This window comes from Homo sapiens, chromosome 3 (genome assembly GCF_000001405.40).
Source record: "Homo sapiens chromosome 3, GRCh38.p14 Primary Assembly".
Taxonomy (NCBI): domain Eukaryota; kingdom Metazoa; phylum Chordata; class Mammalia; order Primates; family Hominidae; genus Homo; species Homo sapiens.
In genome coordinates, this window is record NC_000003.12 from 11,154,741 (window position 1) to 11,169,283 (window position 14,543).

At 48.5% G+C, this 14,543-nt stretch overlaps 1 protein-coding gene and 1 long non-coding RNA gene across 3 annotated transcripts in view, besides 2 other annotated features; both read left to right on the forward strand.

The window, feature by feature from the left end:
- HRH1 (histamine receptor H1) overlaps window positions 1-14,543 on the forward strand; it is a 126,320-nt gene that overhangs the window by 17,503 nt on the left and 94,274 nt on the right. The gene's annotated exons all lie outside the window — the stretch shown is intronic.
- On the forward strand, window positions 6-7,028 carry LOC124909345 (uncharacterized). The gene is made up of 2 exons (XR_007095817.1): window positions 6-391; window positions 4,198-7,028. It is a non-coding gene; the product is annotated as an uncharacterized LOC124909345 (long non-coding RNA).
- Window positions 12,020-12,520: an enhancer, noted in NCBI's record as "H3K4me1 hESC enhancer chr3:11208446-11208946 (GRCh37/hg19 assembly coordinates)". NCBI's record gives its function as "activates a minimal SCP1, AML or CMV promoter by ChIP-STARR-seq in naive and primed H9 embryonic stem cells {active_cell/tissue: H9 hESC(naive and primed)}" and the evidence as "EXISTENCE:reporter gene assay evidence [ECO:0000049][PMID:30033119]".
- Window positions 12,521-13,021: an enhancer, noted in NCBI's record as "H3K4me1 hESC enhancer chr3:11208947-11209447 (GRCh37/hg19 assembly coordinates)". NCBI's record gives its function as "activates a minimal SCP1, AML or CMV promoter by ChIP-STARR-seq in naive H9 embryonic stem cells {active_cell/tissue: H9 hESC(naive)}" and the evidence as "EXISTENCE:reporter gene assay evidence [ECO:0000049][PMID:30033119]".

Genomic DNA, 14,543 nt, shown 5'->3' on the forward strand with positions numbered 1-14,543 from the left:
CGGCTCGCTCGGTGGCACCGCTCCCCTCTCCACACTGTGGCCTCAGCACTCGACGCGCAGACACCTTTAGCTTCCCCGGGCTTGGGCAGGGTGCGCGCCCTGAGCGTCCGTCTTTGAGCTCGGGCGAGCAGAGGGGGAGCCTCGTTTTCTTTGAGCCTCCCCAGGGTCTGAGTTCGCTGCTAACCGTAGTGCCAGCCCATTGGTTGAGTGCGTTCACTGTGCCAGGCTTTGGGCATCCATTATCTGTTGCAATATTGTTATACTCATTTTACAGAGGAGGAAACTGAGGCTCGGGGAGGGAAGTTGTGCCCAGGAGCATCAGCTGGTTAAGGGGAGAGAGTCAGGGTTTTGCTCGGAGTCATCCTGATCCAAATCACTTGAATACACTGAGGTAAGCCCCAGGCTCAGCGTCACCTGGAGTCGGGGGTGGGAACTGTCCGGACCACCACCCGCCCTTCCCCTGCAGTTCGGCTGCAGCTGGGGGTGTGGAGCAAGAGGCGGATCACCTCCTCCTCGTTGTACCGAGAGAGGAGGATGCTTTGGGAAAATGAGTGGATATTATGGCCAGGGAGTGGATTCTGGTGACAGAAAAGCATCGGGGCTGCTCTTTCAGAGATCAGATTCTAGAAGTTGCTCTCAGTTTTTCTCGAAGGAGCCCAGGAAGCCAGGAGCAGGAGCTGGAGTACAGCAGCTCCTCAAGGAAGTCACGTCTCCTGCTCTGTTACCCCACCCCCAGCCCCCAGTCCTCCATGAAGATCCCACCTCTTCCCTCCTGATTCCCTGATCCCTCTGAGGTGTCCGCTTGCCTGGCAGCTGATAGTGCAGAGATGTTCCAGGCAGAGTGGCTGTCCTCCGGCAGAGGGCTCCCGCCTCAGCCTGGAGCAGACAAGACGAGGCAGGCTGGGAGTCCTGGTGAACAAGGTTTTCAGGCTGGAAGGTGCCTGAATAACTCATTTCATGATTGCGGGGCCAGAAACCTGTGACAGGAGCACAGACGGAGTGTGTCCCTGGAGCATGAAGGAGAGGGGAATTGAGGGTCTTATAGGAAGAGTCTTGGAGGCAGCCAGAAACCAGCAGAGACTGGGAGAGAGGGAGGGTGTACACATGAGAGCATCATTATGCATTATCCCATCACAGCATTCTTGGAAGGTAAGTACTATTATTGAACAGATAGTCTACTGAGGCTCAGAGAGGTTAAGTAATTTGCTTGAGATTGCCCAGCTGGTCCATGACAGAATTGGGGTTTGAACACCCATGTTGCCTGACTCCCTCTAGATTATGAATGAAACTGAGGTGGCAGATGGGACCTTAGCTCCTTCTTTGCTTGTGTCTGGCAGCAGCAAAGGATGAATAGAGGAAAGCCAGGCAGCAGGTCCACTGCTCACAGGAATCCTGGACAACCCCATGTAAATCCTCGAGTGTGATTCAGGCATTTCTCCTGGTGTGGGGAGAATCTACGGAGAAGGGCAGGGGATGCCTGGCATTGTTTTCATTTTCAAATGTGACAGAGAATCCCGTGGAGGCAGGAGATGGACAGGTGCTGCCTGTCCATGATTTCAGGGCTGGGTGGAGGCCGGAGCAGCCTGCCAAGAGACCCTGCACCCCAGAGTGGTTTGGCCAATGCTGGGCTGGGAGTGGTCCTTCCTGACCCTCAGCTGAGTGTCCAAGGGAGGAGGGACTTATACATGAGCCTCCTCCTCTTCGACTCTCTCAGAATTCTGTGTTGGCACTTTCCTCTTCACAATGAAGGAGTGCCTGGCTTTTCCTTAGCAGAGAAAACACATAGCAAAGACATCAAAAGTGTGGGATTCTGGAGCTCACCTGTTGGGGTTCACATCTCAGCACTGTTGCTTATGAGTTTTGTGGCCTTGGTCAAGTTGCTACACGTCTCCGTTCCTTGGTTTCCCCATTTTTAGAATGGGGGTATTCCTGACACCTTCTTCACTGCGTTGGTAAGAGAATTAGGTGTGTTCATGTGCATAAAGCACTTCAGTGGTGCCATGTAATAGCTAAAAGTGTTAAGAGTCCATTGTTGTTGTTGCTATTAAGGCCAAACAATCCCAGCTCTGTATCCTTTCTCTGCCACCTGCAAATTGCCCAGCCTCTGCAGGCTTCTTGTTTTCTCATCTGTAAAGTGAGAGTAGGTCTGGTTAGATGTAATGTGTGCCCCAAAGTCTTACTGCAGTCTCAAGCTTTAAATAGTCTGAGACTTGAAGTCTCAGTGTGGACCTGTATAAACTTCTGATACTCTGCTAGACACTCAGCAAACGCTGGCCATTGCAACGAGTGTCACTAGTGTGGATGATATTGCTGCTACGCAGTGCAGCTTGAACTTTGTGCTCTGGCTTTGTTCTGACGAGCATGGATTTGGGACAGTTTTCAATCAGCTGTTTTCTAGAGGGACAGAAAGCTTAGGGTTGGAACCCCAGCTCTTGCCCTTAGAACCGAGAGACCCTGGGCATCGGCTTCCTTATCTGCAAAATGGCCATTCGTTCGATTTGCCAGTATCTGTTTCTCAGGATGAATGTCAGGATGGAAATGTGGAGAAAAGAAGGAAAAAAGCAGATGGTATAAATTGCAAAGAATTACATACAATTGTAAGTAATTCTCATTAGCATTCAGGCCGGGAATTAGCTATAATTGCTCCTGATCCAAGATGTTTTATCTGAAAGATGTACCTGGCAGAGGATCATTCAAGCCCCAGTCACCTGCTGCCCTCCCTTTCACAGTGACGCTGAGCATTTCTGAATCTCGGGATGTAATTATAATAAAGCTCCCATATCTCATTTATAAGTGACTCACTTCTGCCATTAATGGTTGTAGAGGACTAAGACGCATACTCTTCGGGAGCAATGCTGCTGATGCTGTCGGAGGGGGGGCCAGGATGCCTTGCCTCTTTTATGCATTCGTCCTCACTGCTGTAATTCTCCAGTGATAATGCAGGGGGATCACATGGGCCAGGATCGAAGCTGACAGCTCTCAATTTGTGCAACAGCTTGGATGGCAAGGGCCATTGAAACTTGTTGTTGCCAGCAGAATGCATGTTAGAAACTATCACATCCCAACAGAGGAATGAGCAGAAGAGGTTGAGGAAGCTGCCCCCAGGGAGTACTTAAAAGCACAGACTCCAATGTCCAACAGACATGAGTTTGAATCTTAGTTCTGCCAGTGTATTTGTTGAGGTGTGATTTCTGGCTGTCTTTCCAACCATAATATCAGCTCTAATAGAGCAGGCAGCACATTTGTTTTATTCACCAGGACATTCACAGCTCCTAGCACGTAGAAGGTATTCATGAATGTCTACGGAATGGATGAATATGTGAATGACAAATTGCTTAATTGGGCCTCAGCTTTCTTATCTGTAAAATGAGGCTAATATAGCACCCACCTTACAGGTTGCTGTGAGGTCTGAATGAAGAAATGTTATGAACAGAATAAACATTCAGCAATGCCCTTGATGATAAATAGATGGGCATAAGCAAGCAAGTTGGCTTAGTCTGGGACATTTAACTTTTCTCCCACCCTTGGACCAACAAGGGACAAAAATACTAGTTGTAAGAATCTCCTGTATTTATACAGCACTCTGCAAAGTGCTTTCTTATCCATTGACTTCTAACAAGTAGGCAGAAATTATTATCCATGTTTTATAAGAGAAGAAACAGGTTCAGAGGGGTTGGTGAAATAAGTTACAGAGTTTAGAAGCAGCAGAAATTGGAATATAAATCCAGGTTGCTCTGATTTCTAAATAGCAGCTGTTACACTGAGCTTTCCATTGCCTTCTAGAGAGTGGAAGGTGTAGTATTTAGTCTTCCATGAACATGGTATCTCTCTACTTATTTAGGATATTTTTAACATCTTTAATATCTCGTGACATGGCTTCCTAATGTTCATTTTGTGTTTTTTATATCTTTTGTTATATATATTTCTATTATTTGATAATTTGTATGCTATTATACATTTTTGATAGAAAAATTCATGTTCTGTTGGTTACTTGTTGGAGAAATATGCTTGGCTTTTGCATATTGATTTTGTATCCAGAAATCTTGTTAAACTCTCTTACTAATTCAAAAAAATGTATTTGTAGATTCTTTTGAAAACACCATATACAATTGTAAGAGGTACAAATAACAGTTTTGTTTCTTCCTCTCTAATCCTTGTATTCTTTCCTTTTTATTCTTGCCTTACTACCCTTCTAAGACCTTAGTACAATAATGAATTGAAGAATGGCCGGGCACAGTGACTCACACCTGTAATCCCAGCACTTTGGGAGGCCGAGGTGGGTGGATCACCTGAGGTCGGGAGTTTGAGACCAGCCTGGCCAACATGGCAAAACCTCATCTCCACTAAAACTACAAAAATTAGCCAGGCATGGTGGTGCATGCCTGTAGTCCCAGCTACTTGGGGGAATGAGGCAGGAGAATTGCTTGAACCTGGGAGGCAGAGGTTGCAGTGAGCTGAGATTGCACCACTGCACTCCAGCCTGGGTGACAGAGTGAGACTCTGTCTCAAAAAAACAAAACAAAAAGACAGTGGACATCTTGCCTTTTACAGCTCTTATGGAAGAGCTGTCCACATTTGATAATGAGGTATCATGTTTACTCTAGGTTTTTGGTAGATACTCTCTATCAGATTAAAGAAGTTCCTTTCTATTCCCAGTTTGCTGAGTGTTTCTTTTCTTTTTAGTTATAAATGGAAATAGAGTTTTAACAGATGCTTGTTCTGCATCTGCCCAGATGGTCACATGATTTTTCTTTTTCAACCCGTTAACATGATGCATGACATCGACTTCTGCATTTCTGGAATAAACCCAATTTGAGTCATCCTGTAGCATCTTTATTTCCAGCTTATATTTACAAACCCTTTTGTTTAGGATTTTAAAATCATGAGTTCATGAGTGCTGTTCACCAGTGATTTCGTTTCTCATGCTTACTTTTCAGGCTTTGGTATCAAGGTTATGCTGGCCTCACAAAATGATGTGGGCAAGAGTCCCACTTTTCTGTTCTCTGGAAGAGATTGCACAAGATGGGCGTTGTTCTTCCTTGAGTGTTCAATGCAACTCACCAGTGAGGCCCCCAGTGGATGGATGCTAACGTGGAGGGTAGGGAGGAAAGCCAGTTTTGAAGGAGGAACTTGCTACCAATCAGAGGCTCAGCCTGCCTCTGGTGGAAGTAAACAGAGACTGCGAACCTGTCTGTCCTGAGTACCATGGGGAGAGCCCAGCCTTGGACTCTGGATGAGAGTTCTTCTAACCAGACATCCAGATGAAGGGGACTCAGCCTAGGGTGAAACCTTAATATCTGCTGAAGTCTCCATCTGCTTCTACAATTGCAGCTGCTTCAGACAGTATACCTGTATATTGTTACTTCCTGGTGGCCACAGATTGAGGGACAGTCAGATTCCATTGACCATTCCTGTGCCAGTTTTTAGGCCAGGCTCTCCTTCTCTGTCATGTTATCAGTTTTTGTGGAATCTCCATATTATGACCTAAGGGCCATGCCCCTTTCTGCCAATTCACCTTTTCCCTACCCCCAGGATAACTAGGTTTGAGCAATTTTCTCGGCTGGAATCTTGCCTCAGTCCTCTTTTTAATAAAGTGCCAGGCACTGTCCTAACTTGAATTATCTCTCTTAACTCCCTTAACAATGCTATGAGGTAGTTACTGTTATTCCAATTATTCAGATAGGAAAACAAGGTTTCTCACTGTCGTTAGTTTAATGGTTTCATATTTTAGACTAAATTATCGCTCTCTAACCTATTTGGGTTTTGAAGAAAGATAAAAGTCTAAATTAATTTTCCTTCTCACATACTTAACCAAGGTCCTCATCCTGTTCCCCTTCCTGTTTATTAAATCTTTCTTCCTTTCTTCCCCACCTTTCTTTCCTACGTCACCTGCAGCAGCACTAAATTACAATATATCTTTGGAGGCAGAGCCACCAAATCACACTCAACTCCAGGGAACACCATTTGCACAGTTCTGTATCTTGGGCCTCAGGGCACGTAACCTGGAAACCCAGTCATTGACAGTAGATCTCTTTCTGAACTGTCTGTTCTGATCTGTTGAACCATCTGCCAATTCTAATAACTGACTATCAGACAGGGCCATGGCAAAAAACAGAGGGCACATCCCAACTGGGTGATTGAGAAAGGTTTTGATAAAGAGCCTGTTACCTTGTATAGACCTTTTGGTCTGGTGAGCTAACATGGGATAGTGCAGTACCCTAGAGTATCAATGGGAAGAGGAGAGTTGTTTCTGCCTCCAAGTTTGGAGGAGCAAGAGAAGGGAATAAACACTCAATGTCATTCTCCTCCTGCCCTGCCTGTGGCCAAACCCAAGAGAAGGGAATAAACACTAAATGTCATTCTCCTCCTGCCCTGCCTGTGGCCAAACCCAATCAGAAGTGGGTGGACAGCAAGAGAGCCTTTGATGTGGTTCAGGGGCACAGAGCACAGGAGGAGGACCGGAGATCTGTGCCATGCTGGTTTGATGATTGTTTGTATAGGTTGTATTTTAATAGCTAACAGAGGCATCTGCTTTCTCTTCTTTTTTCATTTCTTTCAAACTTTTCCAGGCAATTTTCACTTGGTTTGCTCTTTCAAGAGTGTTCCTTTTATTTACTTGCTAGCTTTTCTTTGTTCCTGGAGAGAATCACTAATCATCATTAAATAAGTACATCCTGCTGCCCCTTGCCCTCGGCCCAGGTGAGGCACAATTCCACCACCAGCCCACACCTGTGGTCTGGAGAGTCTGTGGACGTGATTGTTGATCCCAGGCTCATATGGGAAGCCTGGTTTTCTTTCCTCTGTCCTTGGTGTCTGACTACTTGAGTGGCGGGGCCACCCTGATGAGCCTAACATGGGCCTCTGGTAGGGTCTGCATTCATAACAGAGCGCCTGGCACTTCATGGTGCTCACAAACCTTTGAATGGAACGGCTTTCCAGGCATCTTGAAAGTGGTAAGAAACACTGGGCAAGGATAAGTTATTTTCCCTGTTGTATCAGGAGCTCAATAAATATTTTTCAGTTGTTTATTGATTGATTCTCACAGCAGCGGGTTTCACCAAGCCTTGAAAACCTCCATTAACAAGCCAGGAACTCAAGATGGAGTTTTCTCCCACTGGTCTCTCCTGTAGGGGGCGGTGGGAAGGGCCGATAAATAGCACTCCTCTGCCCAGCCTGAGCTCTGTACCAATCGAGAATGAAGACAAAAGGCAAGACAAGGCAGCTGGAGAACAAAATGTCATGGTTATTACTAATCAGAGTGACAGTGGAGCGTGTGGGCTCGCAAATGCTGAAGGCCAGGATGGGCTGAGTTGCCCACTCAGGTACAGGCAGTGCTGGGCTCTGCAGGAGGTGGCCCCTCCCTGTCCTTCCTGGGAGAGAGTGGAAAGGACGCATGCTCCCTGCAGGCACGCTGGCTCCCAAAAGAAGGGACTGAGTTATACTTACTTACCTATTTCATCTCTCAGATTCACTCATAGATACAGTCACCATGCAAGGAACCAGGGGAGGAGCCATTGAGGAGCTGGGGAGAGCCCTGGGTTATAAGGTGATGATGCTCCCATCGAGTGGCAGGATATATGATGAATGGGCAAGAAGCATTTTCCTCTCCTTGGTGGGGGAGTGCGGGCAAGGGGGTTGGGGCGATCCAGAGGTCCCTAGCACCTGCTATTATCTGGACCAGCAGGGTATGGGAGAAATAGCCCCTGACCTTTCTGACCCTCCTGTCCTGATGACTGATGAAAAGAAGTACTGTCTGTTGAGAAAGCACTCCAGGGCTTTCCATTTGTGATGTCACCCAGTCCTCAACAGCTCTACGAGATGCATATTCATGTGCCCATTTTATAGATGAGACAACTGAGGCTAGAGACATGGAGTAACTTATGCTAGAGTGTAACTGGGGAGACCAGTAACAAGGCTATTGCTGTCATCCAGATGGGAGAGGACAGCCCCTTGGACTGGCAGTGGCCAAGGAGAGAAACAGACAGATTGAGACTGGTGTGGAGTCCATGCTTAGGACTGGACAGGTGGCTATGTGTGGTGAGGCTGAATGAGCTGTTACTAGGAGGCAGGGTTAAAGCAGTGTCTTGGGTAATTTGTGGTTATTCTTGGGTTTTGTTTTGTTTTGTTTTGTTTTTTGTAAAATAGACATGACCCTCCTAGGCAAAGATTATTCAAAGAATTAAGAATTCCACAGGCACCACCACATCTGCACATCTTAGTGGAGCTGAAGCTGCTGCTCACTTGCTCTGAATTGGAAGTGCTAGCTGGAGCATGCTTAGGGGGAATTAAAATGTGCAGACCTGGAAGAGGTCTAGTTGGGAAGGAGATCCTGAGACAGCCTCCCCCACTGCCTTCTTGCCCTTCTGATCACCTTAGAGGTGGTCACTGCTGCATCCTGCTGCACCGCGTGTTTCCCGAGCTCCTCCCCACTGTGCATCACCCCATCCCAGCCTCAACGTAGGCCTCCTCCTCCTTCTGCACACCCAACACAGGCTTCTCTACCTCCAGGCAGCCCCCTTCTATCCCCAGAGGTCCCTTTCCGAGGGACATATCTGACCATTTCACTTTCCTGCTTAAAATCCAGTGACATCCTCTGCAGCCATTAAATAGAAGGAAACCTGAATTTTACCATCTGGAAAGATGTCCCTGATAAATGCATTGGACAAGAGCAAGTGGCAGAATGACCTGGCCAGCCTCAGAAGGCAGGGAACAGTGGTCAAAACATGGGCTTGGAGGCTGCAATGAGTTTGAACCCGAGCTCTACCACTTAGTCACTGTATGACCAGGAGCAAGTTCTGAATTTCTCTGTGCCTCAGCTTCCTCATCTGTGAAATGGGAATGATAATAGTCCTCTCCCCTATAAGGTTGTGAGGCCTCACCCCTATAAGGCTAATATGTCAAATGTGCTAGTCCAGTGCTGCTCCTAGTAGCATCCAATAAACACTAGTTATTACATTAGCATATAAGTACATGTGAACACATATAATCATAGGTCACATCGATGCCTAAGATTATATGTGTTCTCATGTATTTATATACACCTCTCTCTCTCTTTTCACCTCATTCTTCAGGACTCAGAGGTATTCTCTTCCAGGAAGTCTTCCCTGAATACCCCCCACCCCTAAGGCTGGATTAGGATCCTTCTCTGGCCTTACAACACCCCCAGACTCACATCTTCCATACATGTCCTTATTGTCACCATCGGTCCCCCCATGGCTGTGAGCAGCTTGAGGACATAGGCTGTAACTGATTTCCCTCCATATCCCTGGTACCCATCGACGTGCAAGGAACATAGTGCACTCTCTGGAGATACTTGTTGAATGAATGAATGAATGAATGAATGAGTGAGCAGGACTTTGAAACATAAGGGATCAATGGGTAAAGACATGGAGGGAGAACAGCCAGGTATAGGGGATGGCCTGAGCCAAGGCATAGAGGTAGAAAGGGATGCTCCAGAAAGAGCACACGGCCTGGGCTGGCCATGCCTTAGAGAGCGACAGGGAGGTTAACAGGAAGTAATTAAGATGCTCAAGGTGGGTAGGGGCCAAAGGAGTGTTCTGTGTAAAGAAGGGAAAGGAGATGTGATGGGGTGGGCGTGAAGAACGAAGGGAGGGATTGAGGGACAGTGTTGCTTCTTTCATTTAAATCCTTATCCCCCAGGCTGGTTTAGATGCTTCCATGACACTGTGCACTCATCAGGATGTAAAATAAATACCTGGTTTACCTGTTTCTACCGCCAGCCTGGAAACTCCTTGAGAGATGGAAATTGATGGTGTTTTGTTTTGTTTTGTTTTGTTTTGTTTTTCTAAAAATCTTGCACACAAAGATATTTCCTCCTCCATGCTTACTTTTTCTCTGCCACGTAGGGCTACAGATGTAGATGGTGTTGTGCATTCTGATAACTGGATATTAATAGAAGTTACTCCAGTTCTTGTGGGAATAGAAAATTTATAGCTTCTCCAATTCAATGGAACCCATTCTGTCAACCCTGCTTCCTTTATTGAGTCCTTGAATCAAGCTGGAAACAGAAACAGCAGTGCAGTTCACTCCTCGGTCAGATGCAGACGCAGGAATTTTGAGCAGTGACCCGCCAAAGAAAAAGTTCTCGCTGAATTTCTTGGTGCTGAACTGAATGAACTTGAACTGCTTGCCACACCCAACAGGGAAGAGTCCCAGCAGCAAGGTGCAGGAAGGTAAAACAGGAGTTGGAGTCTGTTCATGGTGATCATGTGCCTGCTGTACAGTGGGGATGCTGGGACAGACACGGCTGCTGCCCTTACAGGTGACAGAGTAAAGAAGACAGCTGCTAGGCCAGTAACAACAAAGCAGAATGTGACATTCTCATACGAGAAAGCACAGTGCTAAGACAGTCTCAGAGAGGCTAAGTGACTCGCATAAGCTCACACAGCTCATAAGTAACAAGGTTGAAATGGAGATCCTTGACTCCTTCACTGTGCTGCAAAGCCCCTCAAGGTATGATGCTTGCTGCCTGAAACATTTGGGGCAATAGCCCAGCACTTTGTAATCCTTCTCATTCTCCGCTTGGTATCTCACATTGCAATCATCCGTTAATTCCCTCCACCTATAAATATCAAAAGTGCCTATTTCTAGGTACTGGGCATATATCCTTTTTCCTGAGTTCCAGGCTGGATAACAGGAATAAGTCCCAAAACTAATCCTTGAGTTTCTGATATTAAGTGCTCCCCAATACCCAGAGATTTAGGGGGTTTTTTTCCTCTGTTACAGGGAAAACACACACACACGCAAGAAGAGAAGAAAAAGCAAATGAGCAATTAGCTCTGTAGATCGAAGCACAAACTTTGAGGAAGTTTCAGGGATTTGAACATTCAAGGTTTGGAACTGACATTGGGCCGGGTTGCTCCATCAGTGCCAAGAATCGTTACGGTGATCTCACTGTGCCAGTTCTGAATACAGAGGGCTTTCTCTGCATTGGTCACTAGGAGAAACGTCTCTCCGGAATCAAGCATTTTTCTGATGAATGCATTTTACTTCCTTTCATCCCAGACACAGAGCTGTGTGTCTATCTGTGCACTAAATGTTACTTTGAAAACACTGCAATTTGGAGCTGATCTCAGCTTCTGTGCTTATTAGTTTGTAATATTGCCCTCCCGAGTTTTCTTGGCATCACCTAACACGGAGTAAGGGAATAATGGTGTGTACTGAGCGTCTCCTGTGTATGGGGCTTTGTGCTGAGAACTTTATATTTGTCGTTTCGTTTGCTCCCCTAAACAACCTTGTGAGGTCAGGACTATGGTGATCTGCATCTTGGCCCTAAGCAGGACCCATAGGCTCTCTGCATCCTGGCCCCTCCACAGTGGGCAACCAGCCCTTCCCCAGACACATCTTGTGTATCCTCATCACTGCCCACATATGCTCCCACCTTCTCAGCCCACACAAACCCCATGGCCCCATTGAGTTGTAGACTTAAAACAAGTGAATTTTGGGGTATTTTTTAATTGTGATAAAATATACATAACAACATGAGTGAGTGCTAAAATATGTGAATTATTACCCCATGAAGCGTTGAAAAAGAAAGACAAGAAGGGGAGAAACGCTCTTCCCAAGTTCCCCGGTCCATGCACATACCAAATAACTCTCCTCTATTCTCCACTCCACCATTCATTCAACAACATCTATTGAGCACTTCCGGTGTATGAGGTGCTCCTCTAGGCACACGGGATTCCTGCAGAACAGAGCAGACAAGCATTCCTGCCCTGGTGAGGCCTACATTGTACTTTCCGGCTTCTCCAGGCCCGTGACATCTGCTGTCTCCTGCATTCTCCAGGCCCTGACATCTGCTGTCCCCTAGATTCTCCAGGCCCATGACATCTGCTGTCCCCTGGCTTCTCCAGGCCCATGACATCTGCTGTCCCCTGGCTTCTCCAGGCTGTGACATCTCCTGTCCCCTGGCTTCTCCAGGCCCGTGACATCTGCTGTCCCCTAGATTCTCCAGGCCCGTGACATCTGCTGTCCCCTGGCTTCTCCAGGCCCATGACATCTGCTGTCCCCTGGCTTCTCCAGGCCCATGACATCTCCTGTCCCCTGGCTTCTCCAGGCCCATGACATCTGCTGTCCCCTGGCTCCTCCAGACCCACGACATTTGCTGTCCCCTGGATTCTCCAGGCTGTGACATCTGCTGTCCCCTGGCTTCTCCAGGCCCGCAACATCTCCTTCCCCTGGCTTCTCCAGGCTAGTGACATCTGCTGCCCCCTGGCTTCTCCAGGCGCATGACATCTACTGTCCCTTGGCTTCTCCAGGCCCATGACATCTGCTGACCCCTGCATTCTCCAGACCAGTGACATCTGCTGGTCCCCTGCATTCTCCAGGCCTGTGACATCTGCTGTTCCCTGGATTCCCCAGGCCCGTGACATCTGCTGTCCCCTGTATTCTCCAGGCCCGTGACATCTGCTGTCCCCTGGCCTCTCCAGGCCCGTGACATCTGCTGTCCCCTGGCTTCTCCAGGCCCGTGACATCTGCTGTCCCCTGCATTCTCCAGGCCCGTGACATCTGCTGTCCCCTGCATTCTCCAGGCCCGTGACATCTGCTGTCCCCTGGCCTCTCCAGGCCCGTGACATCTGCTGTCCCCTGGCCTCTCCAGGCCCGTGACATCTGCTGTCCCCTGGCCTCTCCAGGCCCGTGACATCTGCTGTCCCCTGGCCTCTCCAGGCCCGTGACATCTGCTGTCCCCTGGCCTCTCCAGGCCCGTGACATCTGCTGTCCCCTGGCCTCTCCAGGCCCGTGACATCTGCTGTCCCCTGCATTCTCCAGGCCCGTGACATCTGCTGTCCCCTGGCTTCTCCAGGCCTGTGATATCTGTAGTTCATGGTTTGTGCAGCCTCATGGTTTTTGATTTCTGCCCCTGAGCGCAATCAATTGGTACCTCCCTGTATGTTTCACATTCAGCCTCCTAAGAGGAAATTTGTTTAGTTCAGTCAGCAGGTATCCACTTGGCTGGAAATGTTGCTGTAGGCTGCCCTGTAAATAGCCTGTGAATGATTGTGTTTGGGCAAGTGCTCATGGGTAGTCATGACATCACGTGCTCAGCTCTCCTGAGAGGGAGGCTTGGGGCCTGCCAGGCCTTGCCCATTCACTTGACAAATATTTTTCAACAGTTAATATTTTCTCTGCCCAATAGGTGTCAGGGATTGTTCTGGGTGCTGAGATACAAGGATGAACAAGGCGGGAGAACCTGCCTTCCTAGGGCTTCCATTCCAGCAGAGGGACATGCAGGAGAGGAACCAAGGTGTAAGGTGAAATGCAGTGGTGAAGATGAGTGAAGAGCATGTGGAAGAATGGAAGGGGTTCTTCTACGTAGGGTGGGATGGGCAATGTTCGAGTCAAGAGAGGATTGAAGCATGCATGCCCGTATCTCAGTGGAAAGCATTCTGGGCAAAGGGGACAGCAAGGCCTGGCTAGAAGGGGTTTGGAATGTTCCAGAAAGAGTGAGGAGGCTAGAGTGGCAGGGCACAGTGAGTGAGGGTGAGTGTAGGAGATGGAGTCAGAGGTCACAGGGCCAGACATGGAGGGCACTGCCGGCCACTAGGAGGACTCGGCTCTTGTTCAGAAGACACTGAGAGCCTGCAGGGTTCTCAGCCTGCAAGGATACAATGGGATGTGTGGATGACGCACAGAGGAAGCGGGGGACCCCACCGGAGGCCAGTGCTGTCCAAGCCAGGGTGGCAGGGGCCTAGGCCAGGGTACAATGTGGAGGCAGTGAGAAGCGAACAGCTTCCAGGTCTGTTTCGAAGGCAGGACTGAGCATAAGGGACATCTCTCTGATGCGCTCGCCCCAGTCACCCCGGTGGACTCAGGCACTGCCGCCGCACAATGCCACAGTTGGTTGCCTCATCTATAACATGAGCGTAATCGTTGTGCCTGCGTCCTGGGGCAACAGCGAGCATGCAGGGCCCTAGCAGGACTCCTGGCACAAAGCAGACACACAATGATGAGAGGTACTCCTGCTGTGAGGAACCCCAGGGCTGGGGGTGCGGGCTGTATGTAAAGAACTCCTCTAATATGGGGTTTACCCCATGGATTTGGGGCACCGCCTAGCAATGCCCCATCCAGGAACCCGGGAGTGATGTCTCTCTGGTTGGAGATGAAGGGAAAGACCCCTTTGCTGAGCTCCAACCAGGAGCCTGGGGTTTTCTCCAACTTATTTAAATCCCCATAGCCCCACAGAGCAGTGGGACTTCCAGTTCCTTTGCAGAGCCTGGGGGAATGAAGGGATTCACACACAGGCCTGCAGCAAGGAGCTGAGCTCTCGCCTGAACAGCTGACCCCTAGCCACAGGGCAGGGTGGTATAGTGATTAAAGGCCTGGGCTTGAGGTCTGCAGGAATCTGAGTTTGAATCACGGCTCTGCCACTGACTGGCTATGTGACTCGGAGCATGTCCCTTCTCTCTGTGCCTCAGTCTCCTCCTCTGTGGAATAGGACCATACTGGGCTCCTTGCCTGGTGGGGGTGAGGAGTAAGGGAGGTGACGGATGTAGCGTCAGACAGAACCCATATGTGGGTGTTTA